Below are 21,392 nucleotides of genomic sequence, written 5' to 3'. Positions count from 1 at the left end.
GTGTTTTGAGAAGGCTTAGATAGAATCAAATCGTTTCATTTTATTGAAACGGTTGGATTGTGTTTCTATTTAGGTAGAAAGTATCATCATGTGACCCAACACTGACTGTCAACTTGTGAGTGTCTCCCATGAAGAATACATCATTTGCTGAACACATAACACCAAGTTCGGTTATCTGTCAAAACACGGAGCCATCAGAGTTTGAAAAGGAGGATGATAAAATTGTAACACACCTGACATACACTGCTAGAAGGCTGCTGCTAGAAGGAAGCAATTGCTAGAGTTCAATGTTTCATTAGAGCACAAGATGGATAGGATTTGTTTGATTTTAATTTTTAGACTCTAGGGATATTTTTGCCATATTAACCACTGTGAATTTTCATAAAATAAAACAATGGAATCATGCCCAGAAAAGAAAATTAAAAGTCCAACTTTAATTATTCACACAATTTAACATGGAAAATGAAAAAGAATGACAGTGAGAAAATACAAGTAATGAAAAGGGAGAGCTAATGAAGATATCTGTCCTGGTTGAAAACATGTTTTGTAAAAAGAGGAAAATAAAAAAATAGTTTATGTAAATATAAGTGTACTTTCCTCTCATGATGGTTAAAACTGTGTCAACTTGATTGGATTGAAGGATGCAAAGTATTGATCCTGGGTGTGTCTGTGAGGGTGTTGCCAAAGGAGATTAACATTTGAGTCAGTGGGCTGGGAAAGGCAGACACACCCTTAATCTGGGTGGGCACCATCTAATCAGCTGCCAGTGCAGCCAGGATATAAAGCAGGCAGAAAAACAAAAACAAACAAAAAAACATGAGAAAGCTAGACTGACCTAGCCTCCCAGCCTACATCTTTCTCCCATGCTGGATGCTTCCTGCCTTGAACATTGGACTCCACATTCTTCAGGTTGGGGACTCAGACTGGGTCTCCTTGCTCCTCAGCTTGCCTATTGTGGAACCTTGTGATCATATAAGTTAATACTTAATAAACTCATATATATATATGAGTTTATTATATATATCCTCTTAGTTCTATCCCTCTAGAGAACCCTGACTAATTTTGGTACCAGAAGTGGGGTGGCTCTAGAGGAACTGAATATTAAGGATGGAGTTCTTATGTTAGTTTTGGGGTTTCTGGGGTTGGCTGCTTAATACGATTAAACCCCAAAATGTTAAGGACTCAACTTCCAATAGTATGGAGAACACTGATAGTCCTTGGTGTGAACTGTTTAGAGAGTTATGCAAAATAAGCACACTTGACACTGCTGATTCACCACTTGTGAGAGGCAAGAAGTTTAGTGACTCTATACATAATAGCTTAGACTATATGTCTGAATAGTCTGACTCATGTGGAGCTCTGGCATTGGCTAATTAATCATGGTGTTCCTAGAAGTGAAATTGATAGGAAGTCTACTGCATTCCTACTTAATTTATGTCAGCAGAAAACTTATAGGTCAAATGGACAAAAGACTAATTTGAATTATAAAAACAGAAAATCATGGTCCGTCAATCAATTTCCAGACTTGAGTCGTTTTACAGATGCAAAACCCCTTGAATGAAGGGGAGCCTGAGTCCCCTTGCGGAAGGAACCCACTGCATTACTGATAATTTATGCAGCGAGTCTTTCTCCCATCCTTCCCCAAGGAGACCTCTAGCCTTTTACAAGGGTAACTGTGCACTGGAGAAAGGGAAATGATCAGACATTCTGCTGACTGCTGGACACTGGCTCCAAGCTGTTGTTGATTCCAGGGGCCCCAAAATGTCATTGTGGCCCTCCAATTAAAATAGGGGCTTATGAGGTTAAGGTAATTAATGGAATTTTAGCTCAGGTCTGACTTACAGTGGATCCAGTGGGTCTCTGGACTCATCCTGTGGTCATTTCCCAGTGCCAGAATGCATAATTGGCATAGACACACTTAGCAGCTAGCAGAACCCCCTACATTGGCTCTCTGACAGGTAGAGTGAGGGCTATTGTCGTGGGAAAGGCCAAATGGAAGTCATTAGAGCTGACTCTACCTAGAAAAATAGTAAATCAAAAACAATATGTCATCTCTAGAGGGATTGTGGAGATTAGTGCCACCATCAAGGACTTGAAAGATGCAAGGGTGGTGATTCCCACCACATCTCCGTTCAACCCTCCCATTTGGCCTGTGCAGAAGTCAAATGGATCTTGGGGAATGACAGTGGATTATTGTAAGCTTAACCAAGTGGTGACTTCATTTGCAGCTGCTGTACCGGATGTGGTTCCATTGTTTGAGCAAATTAATACATCTCCTGATACATGGTATGCAGCCATTGACTTGGCAAATGCCTTTTTCTCCACTCCTGTTCATAATGCCCACACAATTTTCTCCACTCCTGTTCATAATGCCCATGCAATTTGCCTTCAGCTAGCAAGGCCAGCAATATACAGTTACTGTCCTATCTCAGGGGTATATCAGCTCTCCAGCTCTGTGTCATATTCTTATTCAGAGAGACCTTAATCACTTTGCCTTCCACAAGATATCACACAGGTCCATTACATTGATGATATTATGCTGATTGGATCCAGTGAGCGAGAAGTAGCAAACACCCTGGATTTATTGGTGAGACATTTGTGTGCCAGAGGATGGGAAATAAATCTGACTATAATTCAGGGACGTTCTACCTCAGTAAAATTTCTAGGGGTTCAGTGGTGTGGGGCCTACTGAGATATTCCTTCTAAGGTGAAGGATAAGTTGTTGCATTTGGCCTCTCCTGCAACCAAGAAAGAGGCACAATGCCTAGTGGGCCTGTTTGGATTTTGGAGGCAATACATCCCTTATTTGGGTGTGTTACTCTGGCCCATTTATCAAGCGACCCAAAAGGCTGCCAGTTTTGAGTGGGGTCCACAACAGGACAAGGCTCTGCAACAGGTCTAGGCTGCTGTGCAAGCTGCTCTGCCACTTGGGCCCTATGACCCAGCATATCCAATGGTGCTTGAGGTGTCAGTGGCAAATAGGGATGCTGTTTGGAGCCTCAGGCAGGCCCCCATAGGTAAATCACAGCAGAGGCCTCTAGGATTTTGCAGCAAGGCCCTGCCATCTTCTTCAGATAGCAACTCTCCTTATGAGAGACAGCTATTGGCCTGTTACTTGTCTTTGGTAGTAAGCGTTTGACTATGGGTCATCAAGTCACCATGTGACCTGAACTGCCTATCATGAACTGGGTGCTCAAATGCCCATGGTCTTCACTCCTGCCGCTCTGCCTTCTCTCCCCCAGCCTGCACTGATGGTGTCATGGGGAGTTCCCTATGATCAGCTGACAGAGGAAGAGAAGACTCAGGCCTAGTTCACAGATGGTTGTGCCCAATACGCAGGCACCACCCAAAAGTGGGCAGCTGCAGCACTATAGCCCCTTTCTAGGAAATCCCTGAAGGACAACAGTGAAGGACAATCTTCCCAGTGGGCAGCACTTCAAGCAGTGCACCTGGTTGTGCACTGGAAAAAGAAAAGGCCAGATGTGTGATTATACACTGATTCATGGGCTGTAGCCATTGGTTTGGCTGGATGGTCAGGGACTTGGAAGAAGCATGAATGGAAAATGTGTGACAAAGAAATTTGGGGAAGAGGTATGTGGATGATCTGTCTAAGTGGTCAAAAACTGTGAAGATATTTGTATTCCATGTGACTGCTCACCAACAGGTGACCTCAGCAGAGGAGGATTTTAATAATCAAGTGGATAGGATGACTCGTTCTGTGGACACCACTCAGCCTCTTTCCTCAGCCACCCCTGTCATTTCCCAATGGGTCCATGAACAAAGTGGCCATGGTGGCAGGGATGGAGGTTACACATGGGCTCAGCAACACGACTTTCACTCACCAAGGCTGCCATGGCCACAGCCACTGCTAAGTGCCCAATTTGACAGCAGCAGAGACCAACACTGAGCCCTCGATATGGCACCATTCCTCAGGGTTGTGATCATCCAGCTACCTGTTGGCAGGTTGATTATATTGGACCTTTTCCATCATGGAAAGGGCAGAGGTTTGTCCTCACTGGAATATACACTTATTCTGGATATGGGTTTGCCTATCCTGTAAGCACTGTTCCCGCCAAGACTACCATCCGCAGAATCATGGAATGCTTTATCCACCATCATGTTATTCCACACAGCATTGACTCTGACCAAGGCACTCACTTTATGGCTAAAGAAGTGTGGCAGTGGGCTCATACTCATAGAGTTCACTGGTCTTACCATGTTCCCCATCATTCTGAAGCAGCTGGGTTGAGAGAATAGTGGAATGGCCTTTTGAAGTCACAATTACAATGCCCACTAGGTGACAACATTTTGCAGGGCTGGGACAAAGTTCACCAGAACGCTGTGTATGCTCTGAATCACAGTCCAATATATGGTGCTGTTTCTCCCATAGCCAGGATTCATGGGTCCAGGATCAAGGGGTGGAACTGGAAGTAGCACCACTCCCCATCACCCCTAGTGATCCAGTAGTAAAATTTTTGCTTCCTGTTCCTGCGACATTACCTTCTGCTGGCCTAGAGATCTTAGTTCCAGAGGGAGGAACGCTGCCACCAGGAGACACAACAATGATTCCATTAAACTGGAAGTTAAGATTGCCATCTGGACACTTTGGGGTCCTCTTACCTTTAAGTCAACAGGCTAAGAATGGAGTTACAATGTTGGCTGGAGTGATTGATCCAGACTATCAAGAGGTAATCAGTCTACTACTCCACAACAGAGTTAAGGAAGAGTATGCATGGAATACAGGAGATCCATCAAGGTGTCTCTTAGTATTAACATGCCCTGTGATTACGGTCAATGGGAAACTACAACAGCCCAATCCAGGCAGGACTACAAATGGCCCAGACTCCTCAGGAATGAAGGTTTGGGTCACTCCACCAGGAAAGAAACCACAACTTGCTGAGGTGCTTGCTGAAGACAAAGGGAATACAGAATGGGTAGTAGAAGAGGGTAGTCATCGATAGCAGCTATGACCACGTGACCAGGTGCAGAAATGAGGACTGTAACTACCATGAGTATTTCCTCCTTCTTTTGTTAAAAACACGCTTGTGCATGTATACACATGTACTAAGAAAATATCTTCATTTTATTTCCTTTTTATTTTATCATGTGACATAAGATTTATTGACTTCATATCAGGATTTAAGTATTGTTAACTTTATGTAATAGTATTTGAGTTGGGGATTGGTGGATTTTTGGTTGTACAAAGGATAGTTGTATTATGTTAGGCGTAATTATGACCTTATTATTGTCTTTATTTGAAGATTATGTATAGTCTCAGGTGATGTGTGTGGATTCAAGTTGACAAGGGGTGGACTTATGATGGTTAATACCGAGTGTCAACTTGATTGGATTGAAGGATGCAAAGTATGGATCCTGGGTGTGTCTGTGAGGGTGTTGCCAAAGGAGATTACATTTGAGTCAATGGGCTGGGAAAGGCAGACACCCTTAATCAGAGTGGGCACCATCCAATCAGCTGCTAGCAGTGCCAGAATATAAAGCAGGTAGAAAAATGTGAAAAGACTAGACTAGCCTATTCTCCCAGCCTATATCTTTCTTCTGTGCTAGATGCTTCCTTCCCTAGAACACTGGACTCCACATTCTTCAGGTTTGGGACTCAGACTGGCTCTTCTTGCTTCTCAGCTTGCTGACAGATTATTATGGGCCCTTGTGATCCTGTGAGTTAATACTTCGTAAACTCATATATTTATATATCCTATTAGTATTTATATATCCTATTATATAATATATATCCTATTAGTTCTCTCTCTATATATATCCTATTAGTTCTGTCCCTCTACAGAACCCTGACTAATATACCTCTTACCATCAAAACCAATTCAGAAGAATCAGTAAGCTGAATTGTAACCCACACCAGAATTGACAACAAAGATTTAAATAGCAAACTAGGTAATTTTGTGATTATAAGATTGTTCATACTTCAAGATGAATTAAAGAAAAATAAAGCACTTTCTATAAGTTTCTAAATAAAATAATAATTAGTCTGCAACAAAATGATGAAAATTCAAACCCACAGAACAAAATATTACAGCTGAGAACAAGATAATCAATGTGATCACAAATATGCCGAAGCCACAGAAAGAGTAATTTTCCACAGGTCTTTACTTCTTTAGCACAGGTAATATTACTCACTTCTATTCACTCCAACGTATAGTTACCTAGTATATTTTAATGAGAAAAAAAGAGAATTATTTCACTCTTTATTTGATTAATGAAAGAAACTAAATATAAATTTGCTCTAGGTACATTAGACTGTCTACATTGCAAAAGTTAGATGAATCTGTATGTGATTTTGCCAAAAAAAAAAAAAAAGGAAAAGAAAACACCATTTCTCTTTAGGTAGAATTCACTTAAATCTTTTCAGGGCTTATCCTTTCATTCTAAATGTCTATAAATAATTTGCATGTTCTTATTTTCACCTACCTTACATTTTACTGCGGGGAAACAGACATGTGTAGATTGTACTTCCTGATGGCAAAAATAATGTCTTTTTTTGTTTATATTTTTCCATAACTTGAGGCTGACAAAAAGCTAGCAATAATGTACAATTATTAAATGAATGAATAAAATACTAAACATAAAACAATTAAATTGAAATGACCAAATAGTCAAGGAATAAAGAATTTCAATTCAAAAACAACTTTAGATATGAGAGATGTACTGGGGAAACTCCTTGGCTCATTTAGAAGGCTCGTATCATATCAATCACAAAACCCAAAAAAGAAGAAAATATATTGACGAATCACACACTCATTTAGATGTAAAAAACCATATTAACAAATAACAAATTAAAACTAATTACAAATAAATGAATACTAATTTTATATGATAAATTCAAGGATATAACTAGATATTCAATAAGTATAGTTTGGAACATAAACAGAAAAGATAAAAATTCTATCATTAATAATTTATTATAATATTTGATAAAATTTAATATATATTCACAATTTTACAAACACAGCAAATGAAGAATCACAGAATCTTTCTTAATCATGTAAAACACACCTAAAAATAGAGTAAGCATTATATTTCATAGTGGAATATAGAAAGCTTTCCTTTTAAGATCAGGAACAAGACAAAAATGTTCACTCTCATGACTTTTATTCAAAATTGTACTGGAGTACCTATTCATTAAAAAAAATATAGATTTAACCTAGCTGTATAAATATTGATAGAAAGAAATGCAACTGACTTTACTCCAGACCAGATGATTATCTATTCAGAATCATCAGTGTTCACAGGTACATTATTGAAATTAGTAACAGAATTTATAATACTTGCTAGTTAAAAAATAAATTAAAACATTAAATTGAATCACCACTTCTGGTCATGATGCACTAAGACTCTCTCAGATAAACTCCAAAGCAGAAAACAATATAAAATCTGCACATAATACTGAAAACAACTATTTGAACAGAAGCAGAAAGACTCTGGAAGTATGTTTCCTTGAAGGATCAAATATAGGTATCTAGATAGCCAGATACAATTTCCATAACTTTCGCCTAGATTTAAGTATAGTCTACAAAATATACATGCTGGTGAGAGGAAGGAAATCTTAGAAATGAACATAGTTTTTCTGGACTAAGGAAACTGAAAACTGAAGCCAGGAGCTACAAATATAGAAATGGAATAATGAATGGGAAAGAGCCAGAGACAGGTGTCCCCAAACTGTTTCTACCCATAGCTGTGACTGACACTTAAAGCCCCTGTGTGGAACAGATTCAAGGAAGTTTGACTGAAGAAAAAGAGACCTGAAATGATCAGACCAGACTTGCTTCCCAAGAAACAAAACTTAAAGATCAAGTACAGCCAAGAAAAACACCTACACACACACACATACACACACACACAAAGGAAATGGCCAGACATGGTGGCTCATGCCTGTAATGCCAGCACTTGGCTAGGGTGAGGTGGGCACATAGCTTGAATCCGGAAGTCTGAGAACAGCTTGGGCAACATGACAAAATTCAGTCTCTATAAAAAATACTAAAATTAGCGGGGCATGAAGGCATGGACCTGCAGTCCCAGCTACTCGGGAGCCTGAGGTGGGAGTATCACCTGAGCCCAGGGAGGCTGAGGATGCAGTGAGCTATGACTTGAGCATCACAGTAAGACCCTGTCTCAAAAGCAAAGCAAAGCAAAGCGTAGAGGAATGGAGAGGAGAGGAGTGGAGAGGAGAGGAGAGGAGAGGAGAGGAGAGGAAAGGAAGTAATAATCTTCAGAGGAAAAAGACAGAATCAAAAATACACCTAATTATTGATAGACAGCTAGCTAGATTAACAAAGGCAAAAAGAGAAAAGGTCCAAAAAAGTGTGATTAGAAATGACAAAGGTGACATTACAACTGATAATACAGAAGTTCCTCAGAGACTATTATGAACATCTCTATGCACACAAACTAGAAGATGTAGAAGAAATGGTTAGATTCCTGGAAACTCACAGCCTCCCAAGACTGAATCAAGTAGAAATCAAAACCCTAACAGACCAATATTGAGTTCTGAAATAAAATTGGTAGTTTAATAAACTACCAGCCAAAAAGGGCTCTAGACCAGATGGATTCATAGCCAAATTCTACCTGATGTACAAAGAAGATCTGGTACCGATTCTAATGAAACTATTTCAAAAGACTGAGAAGGAGGGACTCCACCCCAACTCATTCTATGAAGCCAGCGTCACTTTAATACCCAAATCTGGCAAAGATACAACAAAAAAGAAACTACAGGCCAATATTCCTGATGAACACAGATGCAAAAATCTTGAACAAAATACTATCAAAACAAAACCAGCAGAAAATGAAAAAGTTAAATCACCATGATCAAGTAGGCTTTATTCCTGGGATGCAGGGCTGGTTCAGCATACACAAATCAATAAACAGGATTGACCACATAAACAGAATTAAAAACAAATCAATAAGTCAATAAATGGGATTTACCACATAAACAGAATTAAAAACAAAACCCATATGATCATCTCAGTAGATGAATAAAAAACTTTCTATAAAACCTAACAACTCTCCACGGTAAAAAAAAAAAAAAACCTTCTAGAAACTAGGCACTAGAAACTAGGCACTGAAAGAACATACCTCAAACTAGTAAGAGCCATCTGTGACAAACCCACAATTAACATCATGCTGAATAAGCAAAAGTTGAAAGCATTCCCACCAAGAAGTGGAACAAGACAAGGATGCCAACCATCACCACTCCCATTCAACATAGTACTATAAGTTCTATCCAGAACTGTCAGGTGAGAGAAAAAAATAAAAGGTATCAAAATAGGAAAATAAAAAATCAAATTTTCTGTCTTCACTAATGATATTATTCTATACCTGGAGAACCCTAAATACTCTGCCAAAAGGTTCCTATAGCTGATAAACTACTTCAGTAAAGTTTCAGAATACAAAATCAATTTACAAAAATTAGTAGCATTGCTATGTGTAAATAAAATCCCAGTGGAGAGCCAAATCAAGAATGCAATCCCATTTATAATAGCCAGAAAAATATATATATACCTAGGAATACATATAACCAAGGAGGTGAAAGATTTGTACAAGGAGAACTACAAAACATTGCTGAAAGAAATTATAGATGATACAAGCAAATGGAAAAATATTCTATGCTCATGAATTGGAAGAATCAATTTCATTAAAATTGCCATAACATCCAAAGATATAGACAGGTTCAGTGTGATTCCTATCAAATTCCCAATGCCATTTTTCACTGAACTAAAAAAAAAAAAAACTATTCTAAAATTTATATGGAACTAAAAATGGGCCCAAATAGCCACAGCAATCCTAAGCAACAAGAATAAAGCCTGAGGAGTCACTTTATCCTTATTGAAACTATGCTACGAGTCTACAGTAACCAAAACAGCATGGTACTGATACAAAAACAGACCCATAGACCATTGGAACAGAATAGAGAAGCCAGAAATAAAGCTGCACATCTACAGCCATCTGATCTTCTACAAAGTTGACAGTAACAAGCAATGGGGAAAGAACTCCCTATTTAATGAATGATGCTGAGATAACTGGATAGCTGTGTACACAAGAATAAAACCGGACCCCTAGCTTTCACTATATATAAAAATTAACTCAAGATAAAATAGACTTAAATGAAAGGCCTAAAACTCTAAAAATTTTAGAAGAAAAACCAAAGAAATACCATTCTGAACATCAGCCATAGCAAAGAATTTATGACTAAGTAACGAAAAACAATGGTAATAAAAACAAAAGTTGACAAATGGGACCTAATTAAACTAAAGAGCTTCTACATAGCAAAATAAACTGTTAATAGAGTAAATAGCCTACAGAAAGGGAGAAAATAATTTCAAACTATGCATCTGACAAAGGTCTAATATCCAGAATCTATAAGAAACTTAATTCAACAAGCAAAAAACTACTCCCCTCATTAGAAAAGTTGGAAAAGGACAGGAACAGACACTTCTCAAAAGAAGGCATACATGCATCCAAAAATATGTAAAAAAAAAAAAGCTCAATATCACTAATCATCTGAGAAATGCAAATCAAAACCACAATGAGATACCGTCTCATACCAGTCAGAATAGCTATTATTAAAAAGTCAAATTTTATTAAAAATTTATTAAAAAGTCAAATATTATTAAAAAGTCAAATAGCTATTATTAAAAAGTCAAATCTGTTATTAAAAAATAAGATGCTGGAAAGGCTGCAGAGAAAAGGGAATGCTTATTCACTTGGTGGGAATGTAAGTTAGTTCAACCACTGTGGAAAGCAGTTGGGAGATTTCTCAGATAATTTAAAACAGAACTACCATTTGACCCAGCAATCCTATTACCAGGTATATACTCAAAGGAAAATAAATCATTCTATCATAAAAACAAATGCATGCATATGTTCATAACAGTAGTACTGACAATAGCAAAGACATGGAATCAACCTAGTTATCCATCAACAGTGGATTGGTTAAAAAAAAATGTGGCACATATATAGCATGGAATACTATGCAGCCATAAAAAAGAACAAAATCCTGTTCTTTGCAGCAACATGGATGCAATTTGAGGCCATTATTCAAGTGAATTAACACAGAAACAGAAATCTAAGTACCACGTGTTCTCAGTTATGAGTGGCAGCTAAACATTGAGTACACATGGACGTAAAGATGAGACAAATAGGACCAATAGTCACTGGTGATTACTAAAGTGGGGAGGGTGCACTGGGGACAAGGTTTGAAAAACGACCTATTGAGTACTGTCCTCACTACCTGGGTGATGGGATCCTTCATACCCCAAACCTTAGGGACAAGTAATTTACTCATGTAAAAAACCTGCACGTGTTCCCCCTGAAGCTAACAGAAAAGTTGGAATAAAAAAAAAAAAAAAGAATCATCTGAGCCTCGGAAGTGGAGGTTGCAGTGAGCCCTGATCACACAACTGCACTCCAGCCTGGAGTGAGATCATATCTCAAAAACAAAACAAAACAAAATGAGAAATAAGAAAACACTGGAAGCCTGAGAAGAGAAGTAGAAACAATAAGAAAAATCAAATTCTTAAAATGATAAAATAAATACATAGAATAAAACACAGAAATTCATCATGACTTTGTGGTATGACAATACTTCTAAGACAATACACAAAGAGGCACAAATCATAAGGAAAAAAAGACAAATTGGAATTAATTTTTAAAATTTGTGCTTCAAAAGGCACTATTAAAACAATAAAAATGTAAGCCCACTATTAAAACAATAAAAATGTAAGCCACATACTGGGAGAAAATATTTGCAATACAAAATACTTGACAAAAGGCCTGAATTCAAAATATGTATAGAACACTTCATACTAAATAGCAGAGGGATAAATCCCCCACTGGGATAAGAGACACAATATTTAAACAGATAATTCAGAAATTAGTATATGTATAATTCAGCCAATAAATACATGTGAAGATGTTTAACATTGCTAGACATCAGATAAATCAAAATTAAAACCATGAGATAGTTGTACATACTCATTAGAATGTCTAGGAATTAAAATGATTGGCAATATCTAAGGGAGAAGTGGAACAATTAGAATTTTATACATTGCTGGGGAAAAAATTAAATGATAAACACTTTGAAAAACAGCTTAGCAGCTTATAACAAAGATTAACATCTACTTTATGCTCAGACCACATATAATTCAGAAATTTTACTCTCAGGTGTTGGCCCAAGATAAATGAAGATATATATCCATGCAAAGACTTGCATAGCAGTGTGTATAACAATTTTGATCATTATTGTCCGCAAATGGAAACAATGCAAGTGGCCATCAGCAGGTAAAATGTTAAACAAATTGCAGTACTCAAAAAATGATATTCACAATAAAATGAATGAATTACAGATGACCAAAACAACATTAAAACATTCTAAAATATTATATGGAGTGAAATAAATCAGACACAAAAGACTATTAGTTGTATAATTCCAATTAAGTGAATTTCTAGGACAGATTAAATTAGTTTATAGTAATAGAAATCATAACAGAAGCTGATCTGGGAAGGAGTTTTCTGTGTACAGAGTTAACTGTAATGGATCTAGAATGAACTTTGGGGGAAATTAAATATTCTAAAACTCGATTGGGATTGTACCTAAAAAGGGGGAGAATTCATTTAACTGCTCACCTAAAGTGAATGCATATTTTGTATGTAAATTCTATTTTAATAAAGTTTATTAGAATCTAACTCAGATTTCACAGTTGAAACTTAATGTAATTCACTAGATTAATAAAATAAGAAGGGAAAACCATATAATCCTTTCAATAGACATAGAAAAATCATTTGACTAATTCCAGCATCTTTCTTGATAAGTCTCAACTTAGGTATCCACAATGGAGAGAATTTTAAATTTTAAAACAGTAAGAAAAAAGAAACATTGACAAAATAATTGAAGTAAACTTCAACCTGATAAAGGGCATCTACTAAACAAAACAAAACAACTCCCCCACAAGGAAAATCCTGCAGCACGAAAAACATACTTAATGGGGAAATACCAAATGCTTTTCTTCTATGATTGGGAACAGTATAGCTGGGGTGGGGCTATAAAATGAGAAAAGAGAATTAAAAATACAAAATTTGTGAGAGTATTTACCTCTTGTTACACATAGGTAAGGCTACTAGTGGACTTCCAAGATAAATGTCTGTTCTGTTAAAAAAATTTGTGGCTACATGAGTGCTTTTTGAATTGTTACTCTTTACATGTTACACACATTTTGGATATCCTTATGTGGATACCCTCTGTCCTAGTAAAATATTTCAATGCCAGGACATTTTAATTGCAAAGTGATCATACTTATATTAATTATATAATATTATAGAAGTATTATATATAATTATACGATAATTACCTCAATAAGATAGCATATCATTTAGCACTAAAAAATCATAAAGTTTGAGTAACGTGAGATGAATAGGGTTTGTAGTAGAAAATTTTTTATGAAATCTTAAAAGAATAATATGAAAGGTATAGATAGATAGATAGATAGATAGATAGATGATAGAACGGTAATCCAGACACAATATAAATTATTATCAGCTAGGTATATATAAAATGTGTGTGCATGTGTATACACAAATACATAAAATTTGTTCTAAGTGTGTTAAAGACAGGAGACTTAAGAATAATTGAGAAAGTTGGGTCCAGAATGTGGTGGAAAAAACTCAACATTTGTTAAAAATTTGAAGCTTTCAGTAAGCATGGGGAAATTTTGAACAAAGGGGTATAATGGAAAAAGCTATTGTCTTTTAGCTACCACCCAATAGAACATAAGATTAATATGGAATGCCTTTAATGCAGCTTAAATGAACACTTAATCTGTTTGTAAAATTACCTGCAATCTTAGAGAATTAAAAATTAATATAAATACAATATGGTACCTGTATTAGTCTTTTCTCCTGCTGCTAATAAAGACATACCAGAGACTGGGCAATTTATAAAGGAAAGAGGTTTAATGGCCTCACAGTTTCACACGGCTGAAGAGGCCTCACAATCATGGCAGAAGGCAAAGGAGAAACAAAGGCACATCTTACATGAGGCAGGCAAGACAGCATGTGCAGGGGAACCGCCCTTTTATAAAACCATCAGATCTCATGAGACTCTTTCAATCTCACAAGACCAGTGTGGGAAAAAAACCCACCCCCATGATAGAACCACCTCCCTTCAGGTTCCTCTTATGACACGTGGGGATTATGGCAGCTACAGTTCAAGATGAGATTTTGGTGGGGGCACAGCCAAATCACATCAGTACCTAATAAGAGTTGAGGATACTTTCAATCTAAGGATTAATACAAATAATATTTGAGTTGATTTTAATAAATTACTATCCCAAGTACCATTATGATAGTTAATGTTAATAAAACAAATAAATGTATACATGGAAGCACATTCACACACATACACACATTAATGATGACTGAATTAAAAACCAAATACTTTATTTATTTGCCATGCTAAAGATTGTCACATAAATATGTTTTTCTGATTTTTAATGTTTGCCTTACTAAGTTCCAAATGGGTAAAAATAATAGCTCAGGATAAGCCAATTAGAAAAATGTCCCCAGTCTAGTCAGGCAAAGCAAGTGACTTTAAACTAGTTAGAAATAGTTGTCCCTTTTCCAATAGGGTACAGCATATAGATTAGTAAGTACAACAAAGTTGAATTTTAGCTTATAGTTGTCCCTTTTTCGATAGGGCACAGCATATAGATTGGTAAGTACAACAAAGTTGAATTTTAGCTTCCACATACAATCTTAGCTGGAAAATTTTGTGCATTGAAATTGCATGATCATATATTGTCCATAGGTGCCTATCTAATAACCGTCTTGGTGATTCACAATGCACAAGAGCATAGAAAAAGATCTAGAAGTCTTAAGCAAACATACTGATATCCTTGTCTATACCAATTATTCCCCAAACTTATGTTTGTAGAATAGAGTAGGTACTCAATATATTTATTAAATAACATATAAAATAAACATTTCTTTTGTCACCACAACAATTTACATACTATGAAGATGGTATTCTAGGAAGCTTTCCTTAGCTCTTACCCACATTAAATGTCCTACATACTTTCTACTACAAAAGGTTTTCAGATATTTCAAGGAGAAAATTATTTTCACAATGGTGAAAGTGATCAGCAATTTAACTTCCAGATAAGTAGAGAATGATTATACACTTTAAAACAGAAAAAAAAGATGATATTTTGTGATAATTGGCTTATGTGTCTTTTGTGCATTTTTGTAAGACTAGAATTGCAAATGATCAGGGCTCATTTAAAACAGCAGCAGCAGAATTAAAAATACAAATAATTCATATTTTTGTACAGGGCTATCAAAATTTTCATTTTTCTTCATCAGTTTCACAAAAATTAAATAATAGAATGCCAGAAGATCTTAAAAATAATTTGAATTTATACCACACAACAAGGAAGCGTATTTTTAGTAAAACTTGATTTTAGTTAGTATTTTCACAACAAAATAAAGTGTTTTTAATTGCTCCCCTCTACTTTTTTTTGCATACTCTTAAACTTGCAATGTCTTTGTCAAGTTGTTTGTTTGTTTCTTTGTTTTGTTTGTTTTTGAGACAGAGTTTCGCTCTCATTGCCCAGGCTGGAGGGCAGTGGTGCAATCTCAGCTCACTGCAATCGCCGCCTCCCGGGTTCAAGCAATAATCCTGCCTCAGCCTCCCGAGTAGCTGGGATTACAGGCGTCCGCCATCACACCCATTTTTTTATGTTTTTAGTAGAGACAGGGTTTCACCATGTTGGCTAAGCTGGTCTCAAACTCCTGATCTCAGGTGATCCACCCTCCTGGGCCTCCCAAAGTTCTGAGATTATAGGCGTGAGCCACCACACCTGGCCTTTGTCAAGTTTTAATATTGGGCTCTGGTGGTCTGTTTTCTGAAAAACATTATGTACAATTGGTAAAACTTCTTCCTTAAATGTTTATTAGACTTAATCAGTGAAAGCATCTGGGCCTGGAATTTTCTGTGTGGAAAGCATTTTGATAATTAATTCAAATTGCTATGCATATAGAACTATTCTGGTTTTCTATTTCATCTTGTGTCAGTTTTGGTAAATTGTATTTTTAAGATATATGTACATTGCATCCAGTTTTTAAATTTATTTTCAGTAAGGCTTACCTTATTACTATTTACTGTCTATGTGATGTGCAGTGATATAGCTTTATAATTTTAAAATTAAATTTCAGATCATTACATAGGATCAAGTAGAAAGAAATTTGATTAATTCAATTATTTCAGCTTCTAAGTATTTTCATTCCAAATGGACAATGAAAAAAAAATGGTGTAAAGTTGCTATATGTATAAAATTTTACATTTTATTTATTTTATGAGTGAGAAAATATTTTAGATATAAATTATTTCTAAATTATTATATTTAAGATCACAGTTCATTTAACCTAAAGGCAAACTATACTCTTTTTATTGATAACATGTTTCCTGGTGTCCCATATGTAACATTTTTTCACCTTTCATTGCTTAAAATTACATTTGATATAATGATTACAATTAAAAATAAAAATTTCCAGCAGCCAGTTGGAACTGATAACTGGTGATGATAATGTGTAGATATGTAAGCAATGCCAGTATGATAAGCCAATATCTACTCATTTTAAATTGACTTAGCAATCAGAAATCACAAGTCATTCTTTAACAACAAAGCAAAACAGAAAACAGGTAAAAACGTCATCTATGGTGTATCCTATTCATTTTATGATAACTCAGTTAATACCTTGTTAACTATATATTACCTTAACAGAAGAGATAGAGAGAGACAGAGTGCTTTAGCAGAATTCAAGAAAACATTATTAGATTATTTTTGAAAACAACAAAAAAAGATACATAAGATATTAGTATCCTTCATTTCTAACAAAAGATGATCCACAAAGCTTTACAAATAGTTAATTTTTTTAAGGCCTGTTAATAACTTGAACTGTTCAAGTTTAGAAATGAATTTTCTTATAGAAAAGATGATAATTTTTGTAGTTGTTGTTTCTCATAGAAGATACTCAATTTTTAAACAAGAATGCATTTAAAACTTAATGCCTAATTCACACTTAGAACAACAGCAAAAAAAAATCTGAAAAATCATTCTTCTGATGTTCATGTTATCTCCTAATCATACAAAATTACCTCTTTCCAAGTACTTCTGGGAAGATTAATATGACATCCAAAACAACACACATGAAATGCATCCAAGAAACAAGCTACATTCATTCAGTATAAGGGGCATTGCCAAATTTGACAGGGTGTTGGCACTTAATACATGCCATTACTAATTTTAGTATGAAACAGGTTTCATCTCTAGTGCTTTTATACTTCTGAATAAATGTAGAACTGAATCATTAAATGCCGAAACATTTTTTTCTAATACCATGGGCATCTTCTGTCATTGAACTCAGTCAATGACATTGAACATTGTTATGTTAGGATAGGCCCATTCTTCTAATTTTTTGTGTGTGAAAAGACTTTTTGGGGGGCATATGTTGAGTGCTGTCTTAAGTTTTTTTTCTGCTTTCCTTTGCATTTCATTTAAACAGTAGATTGAATGATGGTTTTTGAATTTAGAGTAAATCTTCATCTAATTTATCTGAGAAAAACACACGCTGATCATCCTGCAGTAAGCAAGAACAAGATTAACTTCCAATGTAGTCTTAAAAAGTTCTTATTTCTTTGTGTTTTCTCCAATATTTCTTAAGATTGGTCACCTACCAGAAAATTAATAGAAGGCCATCCAAGAGAATTATCCAAGAAGTGCATAAGTTCTATTTTTCACTGCAAAATAAAATTCAGTTAGAAATGTGAGCTTTTATTGCATTTTATATTTTTAGAAAATCTCTTAAAAATCTGAAAAACCAATCTTCACTATCATCAGGAATTAAATCTAATGTTATGCAAATCCTTAGATAAAATCTTATGTCATCTTCATTAATAATCACTCTAAAAATAGCATTACACATGAATTGTGAATAATGTAGAGATGATTTTTTTCAATCATCTCTATACTAGAAAAGTATTTAATCTTAGGGACACTAAATGGAATAAGCCATCCTTTTTTATTCCCTGTGGATTGAGTCTTTCTGGGGACAAAAAGAAAAATGTACCTCTTCCCATGTATCTATTAATAAAACAGGGTCATTGTTTAGGTTTGAATGTGAAAATATTTCATTTATTGGTTACTTTGCATACATCTGTTGAGCATTTTTGATGTTATATCCTAGGCTAGATACTGAAGATAAATGAAACACTGAAACAACTTTTCCACACTTGCTATACTATTGAAAATAATCTCAGTTGCAAGTCATAGAAATTATAAATCAAATGGCGTAAACAATAATGGATATATTATCTCAGGAAACAAGAAATCAAAATGTCAGGCAGATTAAAATGTTGGTTAATTTATGGCCATTGTCAGGATCAAAGGCTCATGTTTCTTTTATCTTTTTTGTTTGTTTTGTCAGCCTAAGCATGTAGACCTCAGCATGATCACACATATAGAGCCAACAATATCCGATGAATGAAGAGGGGATGTTTCTTCTTGACTACTTTTATACGAATGGAAACCTCCAACTTTAGTAGATCCCAACTACTTTATCACTGGTCAGTATTAATCACATGTCCTTTCCTAAACTAATTAGTGTCCAGGACATTCGGTTTGCCATGAATAATTTAAACTAATATTACAACCTCCCTTTTGATCTGAAGATACTGTGATGTCTTATTAACACATGGCTTTTTAATGGAGATTTCCACATCAAGCAAATTAGTATATGCTGTCCAGAAAGTTTCTCAGGCACACATGTTTCTTGACACACAGTTTTTCCTTTTCTTTTCTTCAACTTCTCGCACTCAAGCACTGTCTATATTTTGAACTTCTTTTCAGCCTTCAAGAGTCAACTTTAGGTTAAAAACTAGGAACAGACATAACTATCTTTTACCGTCTAAAGCAAAACACAAAAAAATAAATAATGATAGGACTGTGCATTATTTCACTCTGTAGTAAGAGTTGTTGGATACTTCAGAAAAATTTTTTTGCCAATGTAAATGTTGCTCATAATTTTTGTCACTAACACAATACACCTGCATTAGTTTAGATTTGTAGCAGACACATACAGAGTGCCTCTGCTGTTATGTCTTCTAGCACAGTCATGCTTTAGTATTCCACATTGAAATATCATTTTATTATAGATTATGGGTTTTTTTTAAATGGCCGATCTGTCATAAACTGCTTGCTTTCTGTCCTACCAGAACAAAAAATCGTGAGTGTATAGAAGCAATCAACTATTATTAGAACATAGTAGAGATGAGACAGAACTTGAGTAGTTCCAGAGGACAGGATAAAGTTGTACATAGCTCAGACTCCACTGTGTTGCCACCTTGCTTTCAACTCACACTGATGGATTTGTGAAGACTTCCCTATGACAGGTTGATGGACTAAGGAAAAACATCAGATGTGATTTATTGATGGTTATACAAAATATGCTGTGACAGTACAAGTTTCATATGATTAGGAAGGACAGTAGTGAAGGAGCATTATAAAGGTAGACAAATGTGAAGTAATATTTTTGACTGTCCACTGTTACTGTAGGGATGGTTAAATAAAAGTATTGTGGGAGACAATGTGGTGATTCCTCAAGGATCTAGAACTAGAAATACCATTTGACCCAGACATCACATTATTGGGTATATACCCAAAGCAGTATAAATCATACTGCTATAAAGACACATGCACACGTATGTTTATTGTGGCACTATTCACAATAGCAAAGACTTGGAACTAACCTAAATGTCCATCAATGATAGACTGGATTAAGAAAATGTGGCACAAATATACCATGGAATACTATGCAGCCATAAAAAAGGATGAGTTCATGTCCTTTGTGGGGACATGGATGAAGCTGGAAACCATCATTCTCAGCAAACTATCACAAGGACAGAAAACCAAACACTGCATATTCTCACTCATAGTTGGGAATTGAACAATGAGAACACTTGGACACAGGAAGGGGAACATCATGCACTGGGGCCTGTCATGGGGTGGGGGGAGGGGGGAGGGATAGCATTAGGAGATATACCTAATGTAAATGATGAGTTAATGGGTGCAGCACACCAACATGGCACATGTATACATATGTAACAAACCTGCACGTTGTGCACATGTACCCTAGAACTTAAAGTATAATAATAATAATAAAAGTATAATACATTGCTTTATGGTAGTGTTTAATGTTTTTTTTTTTTTCATTTAGTCAGAGAAAAATATGTTTGGAACATTAAGACTAGCAAGACTAAAGTAGGGCCATGTAGGCAGATCTCTCAAAATGGGCTTAGCTTGTGAATATATTTATTTCTCATGTAAATATTCACCAGAGAATATTCACTGCAGAGGAGGTTTTCCAAAATCAGGCGGTTTATACATGACTACTTTTTTACCAGTCACATAATATCCACTTAACAGGAGATCAATGGACTGAAGTGGAACATAGCATGGTGGTAGGAATTTTGGTTATGGAAGAGGTTAACGACATAGAATTCTCCTCATCAGTGACAATTCCCCTCACTGAGGAATTCAACGTAGAATGCCCCACAATATATTCTGTTATAAGCAGACACCAATGCTGAGCTCCCCATGGCACCAACAGTAAGGAATCTTCCAGTCAGCTGATGGCAGGTTGAAATCACTGGGTCCTTTTCATTATGAACAGGGAAGTAATTTGTTCTAATTGAAGAAGATAATTAATCTAGATATGCATTTGTAATAGTAATTAGTAATAGCCAATAGTAACACTTCTACCTTGATGATGGTTGTCTCAAACAATATTTGCACTAAATATCTTTCTTGGGAAGTCCCTTCCAAGAGGACTGAGGCCTGATACCTCTATGATTTTACTTTCAAGAGTAATAAAAATATATATGTTTTTCATTTCATTGGTAGAAGTATATCTTACTATATATTTAGTCCTTTCTTTTTACCACTCTAAGATACTTTAATTAGCTTAAGCTTAAAGTTATAAGAATGAAAAACACAACACAAGTGGGTTATTGGAAGTGATGATGAGAAGTATCACCCAAGACCCTATGTAACCTAATGCCACATTAGAGCAAAGAAGGTGTGAGATTTGGCATATGACCATAAGACCTTTTAATCCTATTATCTTTCTCACCACTGAGAAGCTGTTGGCCTGAAAGAGTGATGAAACTACCTTTCAAAGGTATAACTGAGACACCAGCTTAGGTACAATAACTTACAAAGATGGGAAGACATTTTTCAAGACTCCGCATTTATACTGAATTCATGACCATTTTATGCTTCTATCTTCAATAGGTAGACTAAAAAATGGGTTTGGTC

General features: G+C 35.7%; 1 long non-coding RNA gene across 2 annotated transcripts in view; it reads right to left on the bottom strand.

The window, feature by feature from the left end:
- LOC105370420 (uncharacterized) overlaps positions 1-21,392 on the bottom strand; it is a 129,914-nt gene that overhangs the window by 83,621 nt on the left and 24,901 nt on the right. The window contains exon 3 of one of the 2 annotated variants that reach the window (XR_943662.3): positions 17,756-17,818. The exons of the other annotated variant lie outside the window; for it this stretch is intronic. This is a non-coding gene — a long non-coding RNA (uncharacterized LOC105370420). The remainder of the gene's footprint in view (positions 1-17,755; positions 17,819-21,392) is intronic. 2 annotated transcript variants of the gene reach the window in all.

This window comes from Homo sapiens, chromosome 14 (genome assembly GCF_000001405.40).
Source record: "Homo sapiens chromosome 14, GRCh38.p14 Primary Assembly".
In the NCBI taxonomy this organism is placed as follows: Eukaryota; Metazoa; Chordata; class Mammalia; order Primates; family Hominidae; genus Homo; species Homo sapiens.
The sequence above is the reverse complement of the archived record's forward strand: the minus strand, read 5'-3'. Positions and strand labels throughout refer to the sequence as shown.